We start from the raw sequence: 24,055 nt of genomic DNA, 5'->3' as shown, positions 1-24,055 counted from the left end.
CCCCAAGGTCAACTCATCTTTCCCAGGACCTATGTCACCGTCGGTACCCACTTCTGACTTTCCTGGTGCGTCTGGAATGGGAAGCCGCGATCCCGAGTGTACCAGGCCGCTCAGGGACTCCAGGACCCAGCCCCGGACCCAGGGTTCCGGCGCTGCCACGTCTCGCGCGGTCAGCTAGCCAGACGGGAGCAGGCGGGGCCGAGGCGGGGCCAGACCCCGAGCGCGCTTTGTCACGCCTTATGCCCGCCCCTCCGCGGCCCGAGTCGCTGGTGGGACGGCACCGGGGCAGAGAGGCGTAACGCTGTGAGGGGGCGGGGCCCATTACGCGCCCGGAAGTCCCGGGGAGGGGTGTGACGTACATCCGGCGAGTAGCTGGCGGTCCCGGGTGCTGCTGGTTAGTGTGCTCTGAGGGAGGGTCCGAGCCAGCCGCTGTTTTGCCGGAGGAGCCCCTCAGGCCGTGAGTCTGAGGGTCGCGTCGGGGAGGGGAGTTGGGGCTCGAGGGGCTGGGACGGAAGGCGGGGAGGTCGGAGCGGAGGCTGGCCCTGGCGGGGTTGGGTGGGGGGGAAGTGACACGCAGGCGGTTCTGTGGGGCCGCGGGGCTGATTCTGGGCGGGGACGGGACAACTTGGCCAGATCTGCTCCGTCCCCTGCTGTCCTCTTTGCCTGGGGTCCACTTGCATTCCGCTCGGGGGTCTCGCAGCTGCTGGGCCGGATAACAGTTTCTTGTCTGTACCGTGCGCTCCGGTTTACGAAATGGCTCCATGTCCTCTGTCTCGGAAGAGCCTCACAGCCCTCGGTGAGGCGGGTGGGAGCCCTTTATGATTATCCTTGTTTTGTAGACTCGGAGACTGAGGCTGGCCAAGGCTCCGCAGTTAGCGAGTGTGAGCGCTCGAACCTGGTCTACAGGCCCCTAGTCCAGGGCTTACCCCCAAGTCAGCGCTTGGTTGTCTTCCGATGGCCCGGGTCGAACCCTGTATTTTCTCCTTCTCCCTTCCCCTTTTCCCCTGTCTGGTCTCTGCATGGAAAAATTTCCTTATGTGCATTTGACATGGATTAGCGTTTTCTTCACGATTCTAGCCAGTGGGTCAGGAGCATCTTTGTCTTGTTGATTCCATCGGCTTCGGTTGCGACAGGGGGCTTAGGGAGATTCGCCATGGGGCTGACCTTTGACATTTACCCCGCAGCTAAGCAGAGTTAGCTAAAAGCCAGCCGCCTACTACCCCAAATCTGCCTGGAATGGCGTCTTAAAGTTGCCCTGATTATGTATAACAAGTAATGCGTAAATTTTTAAATTGGCTAATGGTCAGATTGGTGCCCTCCTTTTCTATTAACATTTGTTTGAATCATTTAGCCCTGGAATTCGCAAGTTTTCATTTTAGGTACATTAATAGTGTTTTGTTGATAGTTTAGAGACCTACCTTAAATTTTAGATTACTCTTAACTTCTCGTAAGGTGGTACAATGGACCAAGAATAGAAAATAAATAGAATGCTAGTTATTAAAATACCATTCAAAAGATGTGATGAGTTGTAAGGAAGAGAACTTCGGAAGATCATCCTCTGTGTAGTTGGTGGGTTAAAGAAGTTTTAGTTTTTTTTTTTTTCCCCAGCAATTTTGTGGTTTGGGTTTGAATTTTATGTACTGTTAACAGGAAGAGCTTAGGCTTTGGTGTTAGAGATGAGGGTTTAAGCCCTGGCACTATTACTTTTTCAACTGAGCCGTCTTAAAGGACTCAGCAAAACTAGGAGTATCCTCATCTTTATCTTGTTAAATGAGGCCAGTGATCCTTGCCTGGTAGGGTTGGTGTGGGGATGAAATGAGATGTACAAGTACTGTGCAGATTGTAAAACTACTGATGAGTTGGTACAAATCCTAAGATCTTAAGGAGAGAGGAGCCACCAAGGCCATTTTCAGCTGCTGAGGAGGCTGAGGTGGGAGGATCTCTTGAGCCTGGGAGGTTGAGGCTGCAGTGAGCCATGATGGCAACACTGCACTTCAGCCTTGGAGACAGAGTCTTGGTCTGTCTTAAGAAAAGGGGGGCGGGGGCATTTTCTTAACTTTGGGTAGCAGTGCAACCCGACTCTTTGGATCTAGTAAGGGTTTTTATTATTTTTAGCTCACCTGAAGAGTTTCTTCAGTCAGCCTCCACTCTCATCACTCCTTTACAACCCAACACTTCTATATACATTTGTACTACACTGGTTTTCAGTCAATACTTTACAGACTTGTAAAAAATGTTTACATCACTTTAGAAATTTTTCTTTCTTTCTTTTTTTTGAGATGGAGTTTTTGCTCTTGTTGTCCAGACTGGAGTGCAATGTCATGACCTCGGCTCACTACAACCTCTGCCTCCCGGGTTCAAGTGATTCTCCTGCCTCAACCTCCCGAGTAGCTGGGATAACAGGCGCCCACCATGCCTAGCTAATTTTTGTATTTTAAGTAGAGATGGGGTTTCACCATGTTGGCCAGGCTGATCTCGAACTCCTGACCTCAGGTCATCCACTTGCCTCGGCCTCCCAAAGTGCTGGGATTACAGGCATGAGCCAAGTATTTTCAACTAGATGAATTCTGCAAAGGTGAAAAGGAGAAAATGCCACACTTTAAATAGTTTTTCATGGCAATTGAACTACTTTAATTTTCCATTTTATTTTCCTTTGACACTCCTGCTTTTAAGCCATCTCCTCCCTTGGAGCATACAAATCAGCAGCAGCCGGGATTTAGCTACTTGGATGCTTTAATTCTTCCCTCCAAAATGATCTGAGTGGGAATGACCTTAATGAGGGGTGTGCTCTAAAGGTGAGCTGTGCTTCTCCAGGCAGTAGATTGAGAAAAGTATAGGAGGATGTTTGGTTTGAGGGAGTTGCAGAGGAAGGGCACATTGTTCTTTTACTTATTTACAGTAAATGGGAATTTCAGCACAGGAGCTTTATTAAGTATATTTAAGTTGTTGGACTCCTTAAAGTGCGGACTCAATTTCCAGAGAAAACTATTAGTTAATGTGATAAATGCAGTCTTTCTGCTGAAATATATTTGTTATTGAAAAGGCAAAAAAGAAATCACCTCATTTAGTATTTTTTCGTAAGAGCCTAGTATGTATCCACCCAAACTGCCAAACTTTATTTGGCTGTCTTTGGTAAGGGCCGTGAAAAATAAATATTAATTAGGCCCTAAAATTTACAGATTAGGCCATGGGCCTGATAAAAACCCAGTAATTGGATGAAAAACATACCAGCTCTACTTTTCAATTTACTCTTTTTTTTTTTTTTTTGAGATGGAGTCCTGCTCTGTCACCCAGGCTGAAGTGCAGTGGAGCGATCTCCGCTCACTGCAACCTCTGCCTTCTAGGTTCAAGCGTTTCTCCTGCCTCAGCCTTCTGCATAGCTGGGATTACAAGCAAGCGCTGCCGCGCCCAGCTGTTCATTTTATTCTTCATCTGGCATTCTTTGAATGTAAGGGGATTTTTTTGTGGGTAATGCTTTTACTGGTTACTGTTCATGAAAATTTTGAATGCAGTTGGTCATATCTAGTATAAAGCCCTGTGTTCAGATGCTCCTGCTGATGGAGAGGAGTAAAAGTGTGGACCTTCCATTTTTCTGCACCGCATCTGAGATACTAAAGCAAAAATTCAGCATGGCCAGACAATGCTGAGAAACCTTAAGACCCACCAGTGTGTCTAGATCCTACCCTCTTAATTTCATTCAGAGGTCATTTTGCTTATTACCAATATATGTAAACCTTTTAGTAGCTTTTGATAGCTATGAGAAACAATAGAAAAAGTAGTGTTAATATCAGTACCAGTTAAGTTATTTACTGGCTTGGGAACTTACTGCTATATCCTGAAAAGTATTCTTTTTTTGCTTTTTTGTTTCTTGAGACAGGGTCTTGCTCTGCCACCCAGGCTGGGGTGCAGTGACACAATCATAGCTCACGGCAGCCTCAAATTCCTGGGCTCAAGCAATCCTCTTGCCTCAGCCTCCCAAGTAGCTGGAACTACAAGCACGTGCCACCATGCCTGACTAATTTTAATTTTTTTTTTTTTTTTTTGTAGAGATGCAGGTCTCTCTATGTTACCCAGGCTGGTCTTGAACTCCTGAGGTCAGGGAGGAATCCCCCACCTCAGCCTTGCAAAATGCTGGGATTACAGGTGTGAGCCACGGGGGCCCGGCCTGAATAAGTATTCTTATTTTAAGAAAATCTATTTGTAAAATGAGTTTGGGTGTGATTATTCATGTATGAAAAGATTCTCTTCTTATCCCTTAATGGTTCTCTAAAATAGTGATGTCATTTCTTTTTATAAATTGAGACCCGTGTCTGCAAAAATGATTAAATATTGAGATAACATTGGTAAATGGAGCAGGGCAAGTGGTGCTGGCCAGTAGAATTTTGGGTGACTTTTGTTTTTTAGAGTTGTTTACAGGATAGATTAATATGTTTTTCATTCAAATCAATGTGCTTTTCATTCTTATTTTCTATTTAGTGCATCTAAGTGGCATTCTGATTCACATTATTGATAAGACTGATTTCCTAGAGTTGTTCTTCACTGGATGACAGCAGTCGTATGTCTAGGGAATGTGAATGAACCGCTGCCTGGAGGAGTAAGTCACACAGTAAAAGAAAGTGTAGGCATACCTCGGATATACTGTGAGTTTAGTTCCAGACTACTGAAATAAAACAAGTACAGTAAAGCAAGTAACACGAATATTTTGGTTTCCTAGTGCACATAAAAGTTACGTTTACACTATACTGTAGTCTGTTAAGTGTACAGTAGCATTACGTCTTAGAAAATACGTACCTTATTTAAAAAATACTTTATGGCTAAAAAATGCTAACAAGCATCGGAGCCTTCTGCGAGTCATAACCTCTTTGCTGGTTGGGGATCTTACCTCCATGTTACTCCACGTTGATAGCTGTTGACTGATCAGGTTGATGATTGCTAAAGGTTGGGATGGCTGTGGCAGTTTCTTAAAATAAGACAACAAGGAAGTTTGTTGCATCAGTTAATGCTTGTTTTCAAGAAAGATTTCTCTGTAGCATGCAATGCTGTTTGATAGCATTTTACCCAAAGCAGAATTTATTTCAAAATTGGAACCAGTCCTCTTAAACCCTGCTGCTGCTCAAGTAAGTTTATGTAAACTCAAGTAAGTTTTTGTAATTTTCTAAATTGTTGGTGTCATTTCAACAGTATTCATAGCATCTTCACCAGGACTAGATTCCATCTCAAAAAAACCACTTTTTTTGCTTATCCATAAGAAGCATCTCTTTATCCATTAGTTTGATCATGAAATTACAGCAGTTGTCACATCTTCAGGCTCTACTTCTAATTCTAGTTCTCTTGCTGTTTCTACCACATCTAAGGTTACTTCTTCCTCCAAAGTCTCGAACCCCTCAAAGTTTTCCACGAGGGTTGGAATCACTGTCTTCCTAACTCCTGTTAATATTGATATTTTGACCTCTTCCCGTGAATCATAACTGTTCTTACTGGTACCTAGAATGGTGACTCCTTTCCAGGAGGTTTTCAGTTTACTTTGCCCAGATCCAGCAGAGAAATCAGTCTATGGCATTGATGGCTTTGTGAAATATATTTCTTTTTTTTTTTTTTTTTTTTTGAGACGGAGTCTCGCTCTGTCGCCCAGGCTGGAGTGCAGTGGCGGGATCTCGGCTCACTGCAAGCTCCGCCTCCCGGGTTCACGCCATTCTCCTGCCTCAGCCTCCCAAGTAGCTGGGACCACAGGCGCCCGCCACTACGCCCGGCTAATTTTTTGTATTTTTAGTAGAGACGGGGTTTCACCGTTTTAGCCGGGATGGTCTCGATCTCCTGACCTCGTGATCCGCCCGCCTCGGCCTCCCAAAGGAAATATATTTCTTAAATGAAAGACTGGCAAATCGAAAATACTCCTTGATCCATGGGAAGCAGAATGGATGTTGTTAGTAGACATTAAAACAACATTAACTTCTTTCTGCACCTCCATCAAAGCCCATGGGTGACCAGGTGCGTTGTCAATGAGCAGTAATATCTTCAAATCTTTTTTTCTGAGCAATAGGTCTTCACAGTGGGCTTAAAATACTTAGTAAACCATGCTGTAAACAGATGTGTGGTAGGCAGAGTAGATTTAGTATAATTCTTTTTTTAATTGTAATTTTTTTAATTGGAAAACAAATACACAACTTGGAATGGATTTGAGGCAAATTGTGCCATAAGCACATTTTCTTTAAGTGGCTAAACAAAGTTTAAAAAGCAAGTAACAGTAAAAGAAAATGTTTCTGGTACAGGACCAGCAGTACAGAAAAAACAGTGTGTGAGGTACCTGGGAGTACCTGGATAATACACCCATTCTGCAGTAGTGCAACTTTTAAGTACATATTGTTGGCTGTCCGTAGTCCACACAGAGTTACAACTCCATACTTCAACACCATGCTGACAGTTCCTAAAGAAAACTACTTTAAAAAAAGGCATAACCCGGATGTTCCCTTATTTGACCAACTCCACCTAAGTTTAGATGTGCAGAAGGGCTTAGATATATCCGGAGTAAGCCACAGGCAACATGTTACTTCATCAGTTTTCTAAAATAAGGTTTCAGGGCAATGACAGTAAGGGAAGAACACATGGAGGAATGAAGTCCTGATTACCATACATGCATATTTTTTTTTGACAGTAGGGAGAAGCCTTTTACAGATAAGTTACAAACAAAAGGCAAATAAACAGTTTTGTGCAAGAAATTTAACACATTCTGTACAAGGTCTTCATTATGCTGTCATCATTTGTACAAACTCATAGTTTACTTGACCATCACCATCAGGATCTGCTTCCCTGATCATTTAATCAACTTCTTCATCTGTTAACTTCACTCCAAGGTTTGTCATCACATGGTGAAGTTCTACACCACTAATATAGCCATTGCCATCCTTATCAAACACACAGAATGTTTCTCTAATTTCTTCTTCACTGTCTGTGTCTTTCATTTTTCTTGCCATCATTGTCAGAAATTCAGGGAAGTCAATTGTGCCATTACCATCAGCATCTACTTCATTAATCATGTCCTGTAACTCTGCTTCTGTGGGATTCTGCCTGAGACCTCATTACAGTTCCTAGTTTCTTTGTTGTTATAGTTCCATCACCATCTTTGTCAAATAGTGAAAAAACTTCTTTGAATTCTACAATCTGCTCCTCAGTCAGTTGGTCAGCCATGCTGCAAGTGCTACTGGTTTCCGAGACGCAACCACACAACCACTCTGCTCGCTCACTTGCTCCACTTGGACTGATTTAGTGTCATTCTTCAGGGCCCTAGGATTTTCAAAATGGTAAATGAGTATGGGTCCTAGGATTTTCAGAATGGTAAATGAGTATGGGTCCTAGGATTTTCAGAATGGTAAATGAATATTGGCCTCAACGTAAAGTCACCTTGCATTAGCCCATAACAAGAGAGTCAGCTTGCCCCTTGAAGCTTTGAAGCCAAGCAATGACATCTCCCCTCTAGCTATGAAAGTCCTAGATGGCTTTTCAAATAGAAGGCTGTTTTGCCTACATTGAAAATGTGTTGTTTAGTGTAGCCACCCACCTTCATCAGTTATCTTGCTGCAGCTTCTACATCAGCACTTGCTTTTTTACCTCGTGTTTTTATTTTATTATTATTTTTTATCAGCAATAAGGCTGTTTCATTTTCTTGACGTTCATGGGTTTGCTGGAGTAGCACTTTTAATTTTCTTCAAGAACTTTTCCTTTGCATTTGCAATTTGGGTAACTGTTGAGTGCAAGAGGCCTAGCTTCTGGCTTATCTCAGGTTTTGATGTGTCTTCGTCACTAAGCTTAATCATTTCTAACTTTTGCTTTCAAGGGAGAGACCTGTTACTTTCACTTGGAGAATAGGGAGGCTTGGGGTGGGGGCAGGACTGTGGAGGAAGTCAAGTTTGCTGTCTTCTATGGTTGTGGTTTGTGGCACAACAAAACAATTATACTAGTAATACCAAAGATCACTGATCATAGATCATGATGACAGATATAAGAATAATGAAAAAGTTTGAAATATTGTGTGAGAATTACCAAAATGTAACATAGAGACATGAAGGGAGCACATGCTGTTAGAAGATGGTACTGATACACTTACTCAACTCAGGGCTGCTTCCAACCTTCAATTTGTAAAAAAACCAGAAAACCTCAGGATCCACAAAGTATCATCAAATGAGGTATGCCTTTATATTTTTAACTCCTAGTTCTCTGAGTATCATAGATCAAAAACTATTAGGAAACAAGTTATTTTTGCACATATAAGGATTCTAGACTCTCCTCCAGATTGCAAAATCTGTGTCAAGAAAGAATATTAGTTTCTCTTTACTTTGCTTCCTCCCCTCCCCTTCCATCCCCTCCTCCCCTTCCCCTCCTCCCCTCCCCCTCCTCCCCTGCCCCGCCTCCCCTCCCCTCTCTTTTCTTTTCTTTTCCTTTCCTTTCCTTTCCCTTTCCCTTTCCCTTTCCCTTTCCTTTTCCCTTTCCCTTTCCCTTTCCCTTCCCTTTCCTTTCTCCTGTCCTGTCCTGTCTTTTTTATCAGAGTCTCCCTCTGTTGCCCAAGTGAGTGCAGTGGCACCGTCATGCCTCACTGCAGCCTCAAACCCCTGGGTTCAAGTAATTCTTCTGTCTCACCCTCCTGAGTAGCTGGGACTCTTGGTGTGTGTCATTATGTCCAGCTATTTTTTTAGTTATTTGTAGAGATTGAGTCCAGCTTTCTTGCCCAGGCCAGTTGTGAACTCCTGGGCTCAAGTGATCCGCCTGCCTTGGCTTTCCCAAATGCTGGGATTCCAGGTGTGAGCCACCATGCCTGGCCTGCTTTCTTATTCCCGAAAACAAGAGACTATAAATGTGCATCATGGCTAGGGAACAAGAGTTAACCTCTCCACAATTGTACTGTCATTCAGAAAGCTAATGTTTGCTACTTTCATATTTTATACAGGTAGTAAGCATTAATAATGTCTTTCATCTTTGAGTGGATCTACAATGGCTTCAGCAGTGTGCTCCAGTTCCTAGGTAAAGCCATTTCCTTGAAATACAGGTTTCAAAGTTTGTGCCTTTCCCTCAGTAATTTAACTACAAATAGGCTTTGGTCTGTAGAGAGCAAATGTGTTAACAATTTTTTTCTCTTTTAGGACTGTACAAGAAATCTGGAAAACTTGTATTCTTAGGTTTGGATAATGCAGGCAAAACCACTCTTCTTCACATGCTCAAAGATGACAGATTGGGCCAACATGTTCCAACACTACATCCGAGTAGGTTTGAAAATATCAGGTGACCTTTTGATCTTTAAAGGTCAGTGTTAGGCGTGGAGGATGAATCCCTAGTTGGTGGAGTTCTTTTATTAACTGAAGTCCCAAAAGCCAACTCATACGAGAAAGTTCCCTGTAAGACACACTCAGGTTATGTACTTTCAGATCTAAACCTCTGGAACTTTGTCATTATCTGTTGTCACTGGTCCTGTAAAGGGACACCTCTCCTATACCTACTTCTAAGAAGTGGAAAATAGCTTGGAAGAAAAGAAACCTTTGGCTTTTAGAATAGTTTAAGAACATTTCACCCTTGTATTCCTTTTCTTTGTTGGGAGTGGGGCGTTGCCTGGGCTGGTCTCAAAAATCCTGGGCTCAGATTATCCTCCTGCCCTCAGCCTCCTGAGTAGCTGGAACTACAGGCGGGTACCACCACACTCAACTTCTTGTATCTTTTTCTTTACAAGATGAAAGCATTGATATTGGCTTATAGTACTAGTAGTTGGGGGTTGTTGAGTTGACAAGTTTTTTTCTTCTTTTTAAACAATTTTTCAGCATCAGAAGAGCTAACAATTGCTGGAATGACCTTTACAACTTTTGATCTTGGTGGGCACGAGCAAGGTAAGTGATGACTCAGTGGAAAGCATGTTTATTGACTTATTTTTTTTGTGCCTCCCAGCTCCTTTTAAAAGCAGTGTGTCATTTTTACCTTTTAAATTACTTACATTTTAGAATTAGGATCTTATTACTTTAGTGAAGTTGTTTTATTCATTTATTTTTTTAAGTAATTTCAAACTTGTCAAAAGTTGCATTAAATAATACACAGAAGTCCCCTTCAATATTACCCTATTGAGCTGGGATAAAGTTAGCCATAATGTATAACTATTCATGAACTTTTAAGTATTTGCCTGATATAGCCAAACTCAACTCAAATCTTGACTGAAAATTTTTACAAAGCAGGACAGCATCTTGCCATTTTAATCTTTACTACATTTTTACTTATTAATGTAATTTACCTTGTAACTGGAAAATATGTTAAAAGATATATGTATTGCTTCAACAAGAGTAATTATTTCATCATTTTAACTAGGCTTGCCCTAAGCCAGTATATTTTCTTCTATACCTTTTGCTCAAATTTGTTAGTCTCCTCCTCCCTACATAATACATATTAATGCTTATTTTTTATGAACTGTTTGTGAGCATATCATGCCCCTTTACTCTTTAATACTTTAGTGCCTCTTCTTTATATAATACATATTAATGCTTGTTTTTAATGAAGTGTTGGTGAGCATATCATGCCCCTTTACTCTTTAATACTTTAGTGCCATTTTCTAAGAACAAAGATATTTCCTTGTATATAATCATAATAGTTATCAAATCCAGGAAGTTTTATTTTTATCCACTCTGTATTTCCTTTTTTTTTTGGTCAGTTGTCCTGATAATCTCTTTTATACCATTTTTTTCATCTTGACCAGGTATACGGTATCATATATCTAGTTATGAAGTCATTTTTGCATCCTTTATTCAATGGAGTGAAAGTATGTAGGAAATTAAATATTTATAAGTAATTTCAGACTTGTCAAAAGTTGCAAAAGTAATACAGTGACTATGTGTGATTACTCTGATACAAGTTGATATTTTGTATATTCTATCCATTTCAGACAGTTGGTGGAACATTTCCTTCTACCTTTTTGCTTTCCTCAGAAGTGCTTTTTGCCTACTCAGGCTATGTCTTTGGTTTCCAGATTCCTATCAGGTGTTTAGAGACATACAGAGTGTCATCTTTGTCTGATGGGCACTCAGTTCACATTTGACAAGACCGTAGGTATAGGAGTAAAACATTTAAGATGTGAGAATAAATATTCTGGGAAAGTAGGGAAAAGGAACTATTGAGATTCTGTCAGATTTACTTACTTGTTATTACACTGAGTGGAGAAGTCTTGTTTTGAAACATTAGGTTGAGCTAATACCGTTTTTTTCTTTTTTTTGAGATGGGGTCTTGCTCTGTTGCCCAGGCTGGAGTGCAGTGGCACAATTTTGGCATACTGCAACCTCTACTTCCTGGGCTCAAGCAATCCTCCCACCTGTTTTTTGTAGAGACTGGGTTTCCGCCATGTTGCCCAGGCTGGTCTTCAACTCCTGAGCTCAGGTGATCCACCTGCCTCAGCCTCCCAAAGTGCTGGGATTATGGGCGTGAGCCACTGTGCCCAGCCTAATACAGTTTTTAAAAAATGTATAGTAAAATATAACATTGGTCATTTCTAGTTGTTAAGCCTAATAATTTTATAGTCAGTGATTTCATTAACATATAATTACATTTTAATTAATTTATTTAATATTTATGCCCTGAAAAATCATGTATATTATGATCATAATCACATAAAATACCAGTAAAGAAAAGAGGCTGGAAGAAAATATCAAAATATTGACAAGGGGTGTGTTTTGATAGAGGGATTAGAAATGATTTTGTTTCCTTTTTTTCTGTAAGGAGCTTGTATTTTTTTCATTTGGGTAAGAATGGGTATATGGTGTCCTTTCTGCTGCTTCCACAAAAGGATTTGTAACTGCTTACAAATTTAAATTCAGAGCAAGATAAGACTGAACCTAGACCATCTGGAGAATGTAGAAGGACCAGACGCCAGATGGTTTTATATACCTGAACTGGGAATTGTAGATTGTTTGGTGTGATAAATTTAGGTTTCAGGTTTTGTTAAAAGTAAGAAGGGAAATGTATTGATGTAATTAGTTTTGTTTATTTGACTGAGGAAAATCTACTTAACAAAAACACTTTTACATAATAACCTAGCCACCATTTTATAAAAGTTACTAAAGTACTGTACATCTGGAGGTTTCCTTTTTTTTTTTTTGTATAACTTAAAAATTTTAACTTATAAAAGGAGAGCAAGTTCGATGTAACAAAATCAGTATAGAACTACGGAAAGTAAAATGGAAAGTTCCTTCAACCTCTTTTTCCTAGCTCCACTCTTTAAAGGTAACCATTATTAACTGATGTAGAGATGGTTCGTTATTCATTCTATTGCAAGGGCTAGAAATTAATGGCTTAGAAATGATAGTACAATTAAATCACTGCTTCCCAGCCTTTATCGTTTCATGTCACAAGCAAAAAACCAAGTAATATTTATAAGGCATGCTGGGTTAAATATGGTAGGTTGAGATAACTGGCCTGGGGCCTTGAACCACTTGTCAGGCCTAGTCTCCCTAAGGGCTGAGCAGAGGAATGTGTCAAGACGCCTACACACAAGTTGGCTAGAAACTAACTGGGACTAAAGTTACATGGACAAGTAATTTGTATCCTGATGTTTTAACTCAGAGGTTGCAAACTAGACTTGGCCCCAGGGGCAAGGCAAGTCATTTAAGTGAGTAAAATTGGCTGACTGTAAGACAGCAGGGAAATTTTGTCAAGCAAAAGTGTTCAGACATCATCTGAAGGGGCAGCCACTGCTTAGTTCCTGCTGATAATTGTCACGTGGATAAGTAGGCATGGGATTGCCAGATGTTGCAGTTTTTCAAAAAAAGCGGAAACTCTGATTTTCAAATTTACAAAAATCAGGTTCAGCTCATGGACCATCAGTTTGCATCCTCTGTTCTGAATTAATACTGGCCAGAACTTGGAGAAATCCATAGAGTCTAATCTTACTGAAACCCGACCAAGATTTGTCCATTTTATAGACCATTAGGTTATTCATTTTCACAATGTATATTTTTTACTCATGCAACTACAAACTTTGTTTTTTAGCACGTCGCGTTTGGAAAAATTATCTCCCAGCAATTAATGGGATTGTCTTTCTGGTGGACTGTGCAGATCATTCTCGCCTCGTGGAATCCAAAGTTGAGCTTAATGTATGTTTTGTCCTTTAATGTGTATTTTAATGTATATTTTGTTCTTTTTTGGCCTCTATTTTTTTTTAAGGAATATAGCTCAGTAGTGCCAATAATTAGTCATTCCAGTTAACATTTGGCAAAAAGACCTAGTTGCAGGAGGAAAATGTTTTAAATCTAAGACATTGCTTTTCAATGTCCTGAGGAAACTCAGCTCAAACTTAAATAAATTAACTGTTGTTTCTATCATACAGTGATTATATGGCCAAGTTTGCTCAGGATACTCCTCATTTATGCCTGTTGTCCCAGCATAATTAATAGTATTCTGTTTCACGTGTCATGAACAGTAATTCTGTTTTTTTTTTTTTTTTTTTTTTTTTTTTGACGGAGTCTTGCTCTGTTGCCCAGGTTGGAGTGCAGTGGCGCAATCTTGGCTTACTGCAACCTCCACCTCCTGGGTTCGAGGGATTCTTCTGCTTCAGCCTCCCGAGTAGCTGGGACTACAGGCACGTGCCACCACGCCCGGCTAGTTTTTTGTATTTTTAGTAGCGACGGAGTTTCACCATGTTAGTCAGGTTGGTCTTGATCTCCTGACCTCATGATCCACCCGCCTTGGCCTCCCAAAGTGCTGGGATTACAGGCATGAGCCACCGCGCCTGGCCCATGAACAGTAATTCTTTATAAGTAGTGTTGGCATAGTGAAAGCCTAAAAGCGATATTAGAGTTCTTTACATTTTTGAATCTGCATTCTCAGCTTGTGCCTACCCACCCTCCCACTGAATGACTTGCCAGACCTTCATGGTCTGTTCTCAGTCTTCAGTTTTGGTTGCATACATCCTTTGATACTATTAAGGACTCACTTCAAGTTTTCTCCTTTGTCAACATTGCATTTTCTCATGGCTTGATGGTTTCTATACTATTGGCTTTGTTATCCCTACTCCTTTACCCTATATCTCTTCTTTCTCTTTGATTTATAACTCCTTGCATTCTTGTTTCTGGCAACTTGAACCTGTCTTGAATTTATTTCTAAGTATGTTTCTCACATCTATAGCTCCAGCCTCATGTAGAATTGCCTGCCACGCAGTCTTTACCTTGCTTTTTTTTTTTTTTTTTAAACAGAATCTTCCTCTGTGGCCCAGGCTGGAGTCCAATGGTGCAATCACGGCTCACTGTAACCTCCAGACTTCTGGGCTCAAGCGATATTCCTGCCTCAGCCTCCCAAGTAGCTAGGACTACAGGCATACACCACCACACCCAGCTAATTTTTTTTAAAAAAGTGTTTTTGTAGAGACAGGGTCTCATTATGTTGCCCAGGCTTGTCTCAGTCTCCTGGCTTCAGGTGATCCTCTGCCTCGGCCTCATGAGGTGCTGGGATTACAGGCATGAGCCACCATGCATGGTCTCCATTCTCTTTGTTTAAACTCCTCTTTTCACTCTTGATTTTGGAGCTACCTCTCTGGCTGATACTTCTGTCTCTTTGAGAAGCACTAGTTCTTCTGGTTAGTCCTTAAATGTTGGTGTTCTCCAGAGTACTTTCTCCTAGGCTGGTCCCATCTACTCCCTTCATTTGGCACCTACATGTCAGTGACTCTCAAATGCATTTCTCTCCTCTAGACCTCTCCTGAGCTCTAATCTCATACCTAATCCTGCCTACTCTCGACAACTCCTACTACTGATTCTGTTTTCCTAGAATGGAACTATTTGTCTTTCCCACCCACCACCTACCTGGACATGCAGTCCACAAATCTGTGAATTAATATAAATCCTACCATGACCCTGATATGCACCATAATGCTAGAAGGAACTTTCTCAGACTTAATTGCCCTACTTAATATCCTTTGATAGTTCTCTATCATTTTCAGGATAAAATCTATAAATCTTTTGCATAGCACATAGGATCATTCATGATCCTCCCTCTGTTTCTTTTTACTGCCTACCTTGAACTATATTCCAAACAAACAACTTAGCCATCCTTGAATATGCACAAGTAGCTACTGCCTGGCTTTTTCACCTGTACCTCTCCTCAACCCCTCGCTTTGTCGGCAAATTTTAAAATGTTCTATAAGAGACCTCAGAGTTCAGATATGACTGCTTCTGGTAAGCCTCCCTTGACCTCTGAGACTGTGTTAGACTCCCACCTTACCAATGTCTGTTGTCTTTATTGATTTTTTTATAGTTCTCTCTCATCAGACTATGAACTAACATGATAGGGACTGTGTCTTATTTCTTTGCAAAACCCCTGCACCTAGCAAAGCATTAGACACATTAGGTACTTTGTTGTTGCTTAATGAATGAAGGACATTCTTATTCTAATTTTGTGTAACATTTCCTGGAATTCCAGATGGTCAAAGTACATTCCTCTTTATCTCTTTAACTCTGCTTTCCCCGCTAGCTTTCCTATTGGTGACAACTAGATTCCCAGGCTTGAAATCAGTGGCAGTTTTGACTCATTTGTCTTTTTTAAATTTTTTTTTTAATCATTTAGACATTGGTCTCTTCAATTCTTTCTTCAAAATGCCTCCTGCAGTATTCATTGAATGCTCTACCTTAAGCTAGATCATGATCTCTTACATGAACACCACAGATAGATACTATTTGTGAATTCATTATACTGAAAAATAAGATTTTATTCACTAACTTCTGGATTTGTGGTCTTTTAGGATATATTGCAGCTCACTTCTCACACTGGCCCCTAATGTGAGTCATCTCTTCTCATCCATTTACTTTGTCGCTGCATGTCTATCTAAATGCTTGAATCCAGCCATGCAGTACTGTGTGGCTTCCTGAATTATTGTCCTAATGCAAAGCCGTTGTTTATGTTCTTACTTCTCCTTTACACCTATCCAAACCCTGCCCTTCCTTTAGAGCCCTGTTTAGGTTCCAGATCTTTTCTAAGACTTTGCTCAAGCCCAAAATTGCCATTTTATTTCCCTGAACTTGTCTTAATGTTAATATTCAGTTCCCATTCATTGTGACACTTATCCACTATATTGTGTTCTTACTTGGCTTTGTTAACATAAATGTGGCTGGGCGTGGTGGCTCATGCCTGTAATTCCAGCATTTTGGGATGCTGAGGTTGGCAGATTACTTGAGGGGCAGGAGTTTGAGACCAGCCTGGCCAACATGGTAAAACTCCATCTCTACTAAAAAAATACAAAAATTAGCCAGGCGTGGTAGCACATGCCTGTAGTCCCAGCTACTCAGGAGGCTGAGGTGGGAGAATCGCTTGAACCTGGAAGTCACAGGTTGCAGTGAGCTGAGATTAAGAAAAAAGAAAAAAAACATAATGTGAACATAGAGTGAGGATTTTTTTGAGGACAGGAATGTGCTTCCTTTTGTATCCTCAGTGCCTGAGATAGTTACCCTTCCTACTTTATTCCTCTCAATGCCTGAGAGAGTTCTTCGCACACAATGGGACTTGGTGAATACTTGGGGAATTCCTGTAGTCATCTTTGAGGCTCTGTAGCCAGAGCATTCATTCTTATAGGACTTTGCTGAGGGACATCCTGAGGATAGTTTGTGGCTGAGCAGATTAGCTCAAAAGTTAATATTGGGGCAGTTCTGCTGCCTTGTAAATAAATAGAATAAAGTTGCAACTGTTTCGAGGCACTTAGGAGATTTTTACTTAATGTCATGGGTGTTATGTAATGTCAAGGTGAATCTTTAATCACTCAGGTATAAAGTTGATCAGATTTTCACTTTACATTAATGCCTTAAAAGATTAGTGGAAGTCAGAATTTTCATTATCTGGTGGGCTTTTGTAGATTCCTCACTTAATTCTTTTTTTTCTTTTTTTCTTTTTTTTCAATCTTTAGGCTTTAATGACTGATGAAACAATATCCAATGTGCCAATCCTTATCTTGGGTAACAAAATTGACAGAACAGATGCAATCAGTGAAGAAAAACTCCGTGAGATATTTGGGCTTTATGGACAGACCACAGGAAAGGTAAGAGAAAAATATTTGGGTTACATATAAAGGACATTAACAGTTTTTAAAACATGATGTTTCGCTATCTAGATTACCCTTTTCTTTTAAAGGCTTAAACAGGCTTAGGATTAGTTTTACTGTGAGTATTTTGTAAGCTCACTAGAGGCAGGAGTGTGTTCTTTTTAACGTTTTAAATGGGATTCATTCATCAGGTATTTGAGGAAGAAGGAAATGGTAGAAAAGGCAGATTTACTCTTCTAAGAGTTTATGATTATCTTTCAAATTTGATTCTGAGAAATTGCTTTTGAAATAGCCCTTTTTAGCCAGAAAATAATTTTTTTTTTGGACTGGAGTTTGCAGGTTATGAAGAAAAATAATCATTTCAATCACTTTCCAAGCATTGAAATCAAAGCACTTGATTATCCTCATTGCTTCTTGCTGAGAGAGGTAGGACTGTTGGCCGCATTTTGCAGAGGAAGAAACAGAGAGTGATTTGTTCAGGTCTACACAGCAAGTCAGTGATAAAACCAGAAAAAGAACTTGAGTCTTCCAAATCAATAGTTTTTACTGTCTTCAATTGGAAGGAGGACTCTTGTAGAAAAGCAGGCTTGAGAGAGAGAAAATCTAGATCAGATAAAGTTAAGCAGGAATCTTACTGTTCTTTTTAGCTTGGGGTTTTGGCATATTTAGTTTTTAAATATCTTCCTTTTCTGTGATAACTTTCTGACTTTTTTACATGGTTCCTTAGTCTCACCTCTTCTTGATTATCGGTTTCTTTATAGAAATACTTCCTTTCTTTCATTTAATTTCTCCTCTTTTGCATCAGTATTAAATACACATGAATTCTTCATTTCTTCAGTGCCACCTGTTATGAGTGTTTATTTCTGCATGCTTTTGTTAATGAGAATGTCCTTATTTTTAAACAGTCCCAGACCTCTTTTCTGCATCAGAGGGCATGCTGGTTCCATAAGTCCCAGTGGCTTTTTTCTTGGTTTGCTGCCATAACTTTACAGATAAATATTGGGTGTTCAAAGCAAATGCTCTTCAGAGAGAGAAAGGCTGGGAATAGAACTGTGCTGCTTATTCTATCCTGAAAACACGAAGCCTGGGGAAGTCATCTATATGGCCTTGACCACATTTCTGTAATTAATACCTACTTAGGTTTGCTTTTAAGGAATGGATAAAATGATTGTAATGATCGTCCTTTCAATCTTTTCCACCACAGAGATGCTAACAGGCCTTTCTTGGTTTTGCCTCCTTTAGGGGAATGTGACCCTGAAGGAGCTGAATGCTCGCCCCATGGAAGTGTTCATGTGCAGTGTGCTCAAGAGGCAAGGTTACGGCGAGGGTTTCCGCTGGCTCTCCCAGTATATTGACTGATGTTTGGACGGTGAAAATAAAAGAGTTTTACTTCTCTGGACTGATCCTATTCACAGCTTCCTCATGAACTTTTCTAATAGAACAAGGAAAGCTCTCCAACCATGTCTGGCGTTGAGAAGCCAAGAGTCTCTGTCAACTCTCTCATTGCCCAGTGGTGACATGTGCTCTTCTCCACACTGTTGGGAGGTAATGCTGCCCCACGTGCTGGTGCAGGTCAGTATCCTGGGACTTGGAAGCTGGCAGGATTTGCCGGGTAAAGCTGTATGCCATCATGGGGCACCTGAAAAGAAAAACACGTCTCACCACTGTGGTTGATTCAAAAGAAAGTGATTCTATTTTTTAAAGAAAGCGTTGTTAATGTAATTGGTATCCCTCCTAACTTTTTGAGTTCACAATTTACTTGGTCCAGAGTTTTCTATTCTTTTTTTTTTTTAAACTAATGAATGACATTTAGATACTTCATAAAATTATGAACAGATATGGAGGCCAGAGCTCATTTGGGTAAACTTACTCCTGCTGAGTTAGCAGGTTGGTGAGAGAAGCTCCCCTGAGCTCACCTGTCTCTCTGACTGCCTTGGAGTAGGTGGCATAACCTTGTGCACAGAGAACTAGAAAAGGGGCAGAACCCCGGCCTTGCAGTTGTGGCAGGTTTCCACTGTGGTAAGCTAGGTTCATTCCTCATCAAGGAATGTGTAGCAGATTGTTCACTGTGGAGGAGTTAATTATAGAATGGGTTATTGTTGTTATTCTTACTCATGAAGTTACAGATTTTAGCCAGTCTTTGCTTTTATACTTTTGTGAAATTTAATTTCTCTCTATAGCACCTTCCTTTTTCGTTTTCAGTTATCAAAAGTGACTTTGACCTCATAAAAGAGTTGAGAACATCTCTCGTGTCACATACTGCAGGTGCATCAGTTACTTTTGCACAGATTCTAGGGGGACATTTTTCTGAATAGGAAGACAGGACAAAGTTAACAGCTTAAGGGCTCTTAATTCTGTGAGTTGAGGACTTAAAAGTATTGTAGCATTTGTTTGGATCCATGAAAAATGTATTCAGTGGGCTTTAAAATTTCCATTTGCAGAATTTGGTCTCTCAGGCTGTTTGGGAGCTCTTTTTTTTACATTTTTTCTCCTTTGACACCTATTTTATTGGTGTTTAAAGTAAAGGTTAACATCTGTAGCTTTTCCAGGTTTTTTTTTTTTTTTTTTTTTTTTTGGTATGAAATTGTCTTTCTCCATTGCAGAAATAAGCTAGGGAAACACTAACCCAAAAACTTTCTGTAGAGCTGTTCCTTTGGAGGCAGCATCACTTATTGGCAGTAAAGACTCAGTATAAAAGCACCGGCATCCCTACTTGGGTGATGGGGATTAATTTTATAGCATTCCATTTTCCTAGTGCCACATGTGAAATTGGATTTTGATGATCTTAATCTATATTCTACCCTTATAATAAAAGATCAAAAGATATATCTCCTATGAACAGATTGGAGATAGGAGATGAAAAGTTGGGAGGATGTCTTTATTCTAATGTGAGGGTAGGGAAAATGTGGATAACATTACTGGGGTGAGGGAGGCATTGTTCTTTAGTTGGAGTTCTCATTCTTATTCTCCAGTACTGACTTGTGGGGAAAGCATACTTTTTCACTGCCAGGTACTGAATGCAGAGGCTCAGTGAAGTATATATGTGGGAAGTGCATGCATTTCGTTTATTAGCAAACATAGCTGGATTAAGACAAAGTTGTTGGTTTGGAAAGGGGTTAAAGCCTTAAGTGAACAAATCTAGCTAACAGTGAATGAACTAGGTAATATAACTTGCATATTTTTAATTTCCTTTGGTTAAAGGTCCCCCATACTTCTCTGTTCGGAGACATGAGAAGTATGATTACTTCAGTGTTAGTTTTCTTAATTTTTTTTTTCCCCTATTTGTCCCTTGTCACTTTGTTGCAAGCTAGAAATCTGTGGGTTATACATAGGGCAGCTCTTTGTGAAAGTGGTTTATTCCACTGGAGAAAGGGGATTGAAAATCAGTTAGAACCAATGTATTTCTTGCCCCACGGAACACTATTCCTATAAGATAGCTGAAAGAAGCTGCTGTGAGGAGCTCAGCTCCAAACACAGGATCAGCACCTTGTATAGGAATTCCCATGAATTATGACTTCTCATTCTGTTTTATCAGAGTGCATATATGTCCTACTTCAGGAAAAGTAAAACAGTCATTTACGAAAGAAAGTCAATCTGTATCCTAAGCATTTTAATAAAAAGTTAAAACAAATACGCTATTTCCTTTTTTTTTTTTCATTGGTTTGTTCTGAGCTCTGAGTTTGAACAATGCCGTTTATTTGGGGAGGCAACCAAAAGTTCCCTGCATAGAGGAAGAGACATTTAGGGTGCGTGTGAGATACTTGAATTTTGCCACCAGGAGGGGGAAAAAGGCTGGGGTACTAGAAGTAATAGATTTAGTACTACTTGAGAGATTTGGAACATGCTGTGGACCCAGGGTTGTTGGTCATCTCTGCAACAGGATGGGGATGGCAGATGTTTGAGCAAAATCTATATTAACATGCTAGCAAGGACTAGTTCTAGTTTAGCTGTGTTTCACTCATTTTACACAGAATTAGAATTGGCCAGGTGTGGTGGCTCACGCTGTAATCCTAGCACTTTGGGAGGCTGAGGTGGGTGGATTGTCTGAGCTCAGGAGTTTGAGACCAGCCTGGGGAACAGGGTGAAACCCCATCACTACTAAAATACAAAAAAATTAGCTGGGCATTGTGGTACATGGAGTAGCTCCCAGCTACTCTGGAGGCTGAGGCGGAGAATCGCTTGAACTAGGAGGTGGAGATTGAAGTGAGCCGAGATCATGCCACTGTACTCCTGCCTGGGTGACAGAGCAAGACTCTCTCTAGCTCAAAAAAAAAAAAAAAAAAAAAATCAATTAAATGCTACATTTGGCAAAATGAGAAAGAAAGAATTTCCTTTACTAGGCTTGTAGGAAGACTGCTTTTACAAAAACCCAAATGAGATCATAAAACTAAAGTACTGGGACAAACAGTGGGAAACAGTGCAATGGGTTCTTTTCAACCAAGTATTAAAGTATTGGAGATATTGCCGGGCGCGGTGGCTCACGTCTGTAATCCTAGCGCTTTGGGAGGCCAAGGCGGGCGGGTCATGAGGTCAGGAGTTCAAGGCCAGCCTGACCAACATGGCAGAGCTCCGTCTCTACTAAAAATACAAAAATTAGCCAGGCACGGTGGGACGCACCTTTAATCCCAGCTACTCAGGAGGCTGAAGCAGGAGAATCGCTTGAATCGGGGAAGCGGAGGTTGCAGTGAGCCGAGATCGCGCCACTGCACTCCAGCCTGGGTGACTCCCATCTCAAAAAAAATAAAAAGTACTGGAGGTGTCCTGTTGTCCTTGTTACTGTGAAAGGATGCCATGGGTTGTATGGGCAAATGAGTTGTTTTGTTTGAGGCAGAGTGGAAAATAAGATTAGGCTCAGTCCATGAGCCTAGCACTCAACAGATCTTACTTTGGCGTTCTGGCTGTGACTTGGGACTTCTTTTTACCATGGTCTGCTGTAAACACAGAAAAACCCAATGCCTAACAGTTCATGCTGGAGTCTTGAGCGTTGAGGGAGAATCACTGGACTCGAGAGAGAAAGTTTGTTTGTTTGTTTGTTTGTTTGTTTTTTGAGTTGGTCTCACTCTGTCGCCCAGGCTGGAGTGCAGTGGTATGAACATAGGTCACTGCAGCCTTGACCTCCTGGGCTTAAGTGATCCTCCCATCTCAGCCTCCCAAGTAGCTTGGGACCACAGGGTTGCACCACCGTGCTCAGCTAGTTTTCAAAATTTTTGTAGAGTTAAGGTCTCATCATGTTGCCCAGGCTGGTCTCAAACTCCTGGGCTCAGGAAATTCTCCTACCTCAGCCTCCCAACGTGCTGGGATTCCAAGTGTGAGCCCCTGTGCTCCACCAAGAGAAAAACTCTTTGATTGCTAGGAAGTTGGGATAAAGAAATTGTGCTGTGATCAAGCCACCTTCTGTGTCATAGAACCAAAAGAAGACCGCCTGCTATGGCAAGATGGCCTAATTTTATTCCTGCCTCATACTATCATGGATAATCGTTTTCCTTTCTCTAGCAGGTTTGTGTCACTGGGAGTACTGGGAGCATTATCCTGTGTTGTGCTGGGGTTATACCAAGCAGTGTTAACTTTATTTAAAGAATTCAGGCAGAAAGATTAGAGAATTTAAGTAGCAATTGTATATGGTAAGCAATACAGTAACCTTAATAAAAATTAATGATGGCCGGGTACGGTGGCTCACGCCTGTAATCCCAGCACTTTGGGAGGCCGAGGCGGGCGGATCACAAGGTCAGGAGATCGAGACCATCCTGGCTAACACGGTGAAACCCCGTCTCTACTAAAAATACAAAAAATTAGCTGGGCGTGGTGGCAGGCGCCTGTAGTCCCAGCGACTGGGGAGGCTGAGGCAGGAGAATAGCGTGAACCCAGGAGGCGGAGTTTGCAGTGAGCGGAGATCGCACCATTGCACTCCAGCCTGGGCGACAGAGCGAGACTCCGTCTCAAAAAAATAAATAAATAAATAAAAAATAATGTGTATTTTATCAATTCAGTGATAAAGCAGACCTTTGTAAACTGTCTAGCTTGTGGTGACTGATTGAGGGTATCATGAAGCTCCGCGCCCCCCCACTCCCCGACATACTCGTTCATCCTCCTCTGTCCTAAAGCGTACTTCTTTGGAAAAGTAGAGCAGTTTATGTTAGTGTACACTAGAGATGGTAAACTATGCCTTGTGGGTCAAATCGGGCCTGCTGCCTGTGTTTGTATGGCCTGTGAGCAAAGAAAGGTTTTTACATATTTAAATGGTTGGAAAAAATATTTAAAGAATGCTATTTTTGGACACAAAAAATTGTATGAAATTAAAATTTCAATGTCTGTATCTTTTTATTGGGACACAGCCACCGCCATTCCTTTAGCTTTTGTATGCAACAGCTGCAGAGTTGACTATTTGAGACAAGTTGTATGGTCCCCCCAAACTGGAACTGTTTCCATTCTGGCCTTCTACAGAAAGTATTTGGACCCTGGCCTAGATAAATCCTGGCTGGTGGTTATGTTATGTGAAATGTGCACACTGTAAAATATAGGCCTGTATGATTAAAATTTTTGATTTCAGCTACTGTTCATAGTCGATTTAAAGGGCAATTTAATTTACAGCAAATCCAGTTTCTCGGAGATTTGTGTTGGGGCTTTGGCAGCAAAAAAAAATCCTAGGAGTAATCTTGAGAGTTCCATGCCCCCTAGTGGATTGCTATAGGGTTTACTTTTAAATTTTCAAAACACTGAATTGGCCAAGGATTTCCTTGGTCCATATTATCCCAAGGGTCAGAGGCTGAAGGTCGCCTAGACCTGGGCAGATGCTCACAGGTACTGTCGTGGCCTGGGCAAATCTAGGCACGTCAGCGCTCATTTCTATTCCCTTTCCCACATTCCAGCAAACGAGACTAGGCTTGAAGGGACCCACCCTCCTCTCCTCTGATTCCTCGTGACGCCGCACTCCTCTTACTCTCCCCGGGGCTCATCCGGGGGAATGGGGCAGATTATGTCCCACCGGTTGGACAAACTAACGAGGGCGGGGAAAGGAAAAAA

At 41.2% G+C, this 24,055-nt stretch overlaps 1 protein-coding gene and 1 pseudogene across 2 annotated transcripts, besides 6 other annotated features; one reads left to right on the top strand and one right to left on the bottom strand.

Annotated features, from left to right (window-relative positions):
- Positions 72-431: a silencer, noted in NCBI's record as "silent region_2442". NCBI's record gives its function as "represses an Ori minimal core promoter by ATAC-STARR-seq in GM12878 lymphoblastoid cells {active_cell/tissue: GM12878}" and the evidence as "EXISTENCE:reporter gene assay evidence [ECO:0000049][PMID:35858748]".
- Positions 72-731: a biological region, named in NCBI's record as "H3K27ac hESC enhancer GRCh37_chr10:71929895-71930551".
- Positions 75-731: an enhancer, noted in NCBI's record as "H3K27ac hESC enhancer chr10:71929895-71930551 (GRCh37/hg19 assembly coordinates)". NCBI's record gives its function as "activates a minimal SCP1, AML or CMV promoter by ChIP-STARR-seq in primed H9 embryonic stem cells {active_cell/tissue: H9 hESC(primed)}" and the evidence as "EXISTENCE:reporter gene assay evidence [ECO:0000049][PMID:30033119]".
- Positions 356-23,581, top strand: SAR1A (secretion associated Ras related GTPase 1A). 2 transcript variants are annotated; one of them, NM_001142648.2, is made up of 8 exons: positions 356-457; positions 8,111-8,180; positions 8,939-9,012; positions 9,132-9,251; positions 9,801-9,866; positions 13,003-13,106; positions 16,901-17,032; positions 18,278-23,581. In NM_001142648.2, the coding sequence occupies exons 3-8, from the start codon at positions 8,955-8,957 to the stop codon at positions 18,392-18,394; spliced, it is 597 nt and encodes a 198-aa protein (NP_001136120.1). In that variant the 5' UTR covers positions 356-457; positions 8,111-8,180; positions 8,939-8,954; the 3' UTR covers positions 18,395-23,581. The 2 variants fall into 2 exon arrangements, with proteins under 2 accessions (NP_001136120.1, NP_064535.1); NM_020150.5 differs by lacking the exon at positions 8,111-8,180.
- Positions 732-1,390: an enhancer, noted in NCBI's record as "H3K27ac hESC enhancer chr10:71929236-71929894 (GRCh37/hg19 assembly coordinates)". NCBI's record gives its function as "activates a minimal SCP1, AML or CMV promoter by ChIP-STARR-seq in naive H9 embryonic stem cells {active_cell/tissue: H9 hESC(naive)}" and the evidence as "EXISTENCE:reporter gene assay evidence [ECO:0000049][PMID:30033119]".
- Positions 6,129-7,257, bottom strand: CALM2P2 (calmodulin 2 pseudogene 2; annotated as a pseudogene).
- Positions 6,400-6,479: an enhancer, noted in NCBI's record as "active region_3497". NCBI's record gives its function as "activates an Ori minimal core promoter by ATAC-STARR-seq in GM12878 lymphoblastoid cells {active_cell/tissue: GM12878}" and the evidence as "EXISTENCE:reporter gene assay evidence [ECO:0000049][PMID:35858748]".
- Positions 14,096-14,596: an enhancer, noted in NCBI's record as "H3K27ac hESC enhancer chr10:71916030-71916530 (GRCh37/hg19 assembly coordinates)". NCBI's record gives its function as "activates a minimal SCP1, AML or CMV promoter by ChIP-STARR-seq in naive H9 embryonic stem cells {active_cell/tissue: H9 hESC(naive)}" and the evidence as "EXISTENCE:reporter gene assay evidence [ECO:0000049][PMID:30033119]".
- Positions 23,582-24,055: the final 474 nt, after the last annotated feature.

Source organism: Homo sapiens, chromosome 10, assembly GCF_000001405.40.
Source record: "Homo sapiens chromosome 10, GRCh38.p14 Primary Assembly".
Taxonomy (NCBI): domain Eukaryota; kingdom Metazoa; phylum Chordata; class Mammalia; order Primates; family Hominidae; genus Homo; species Homo sapiens.
Note: the sequence above shows the minus strand (reverse complement) of the source record. Positions and strands in the feature narration are given on the sequence as shown.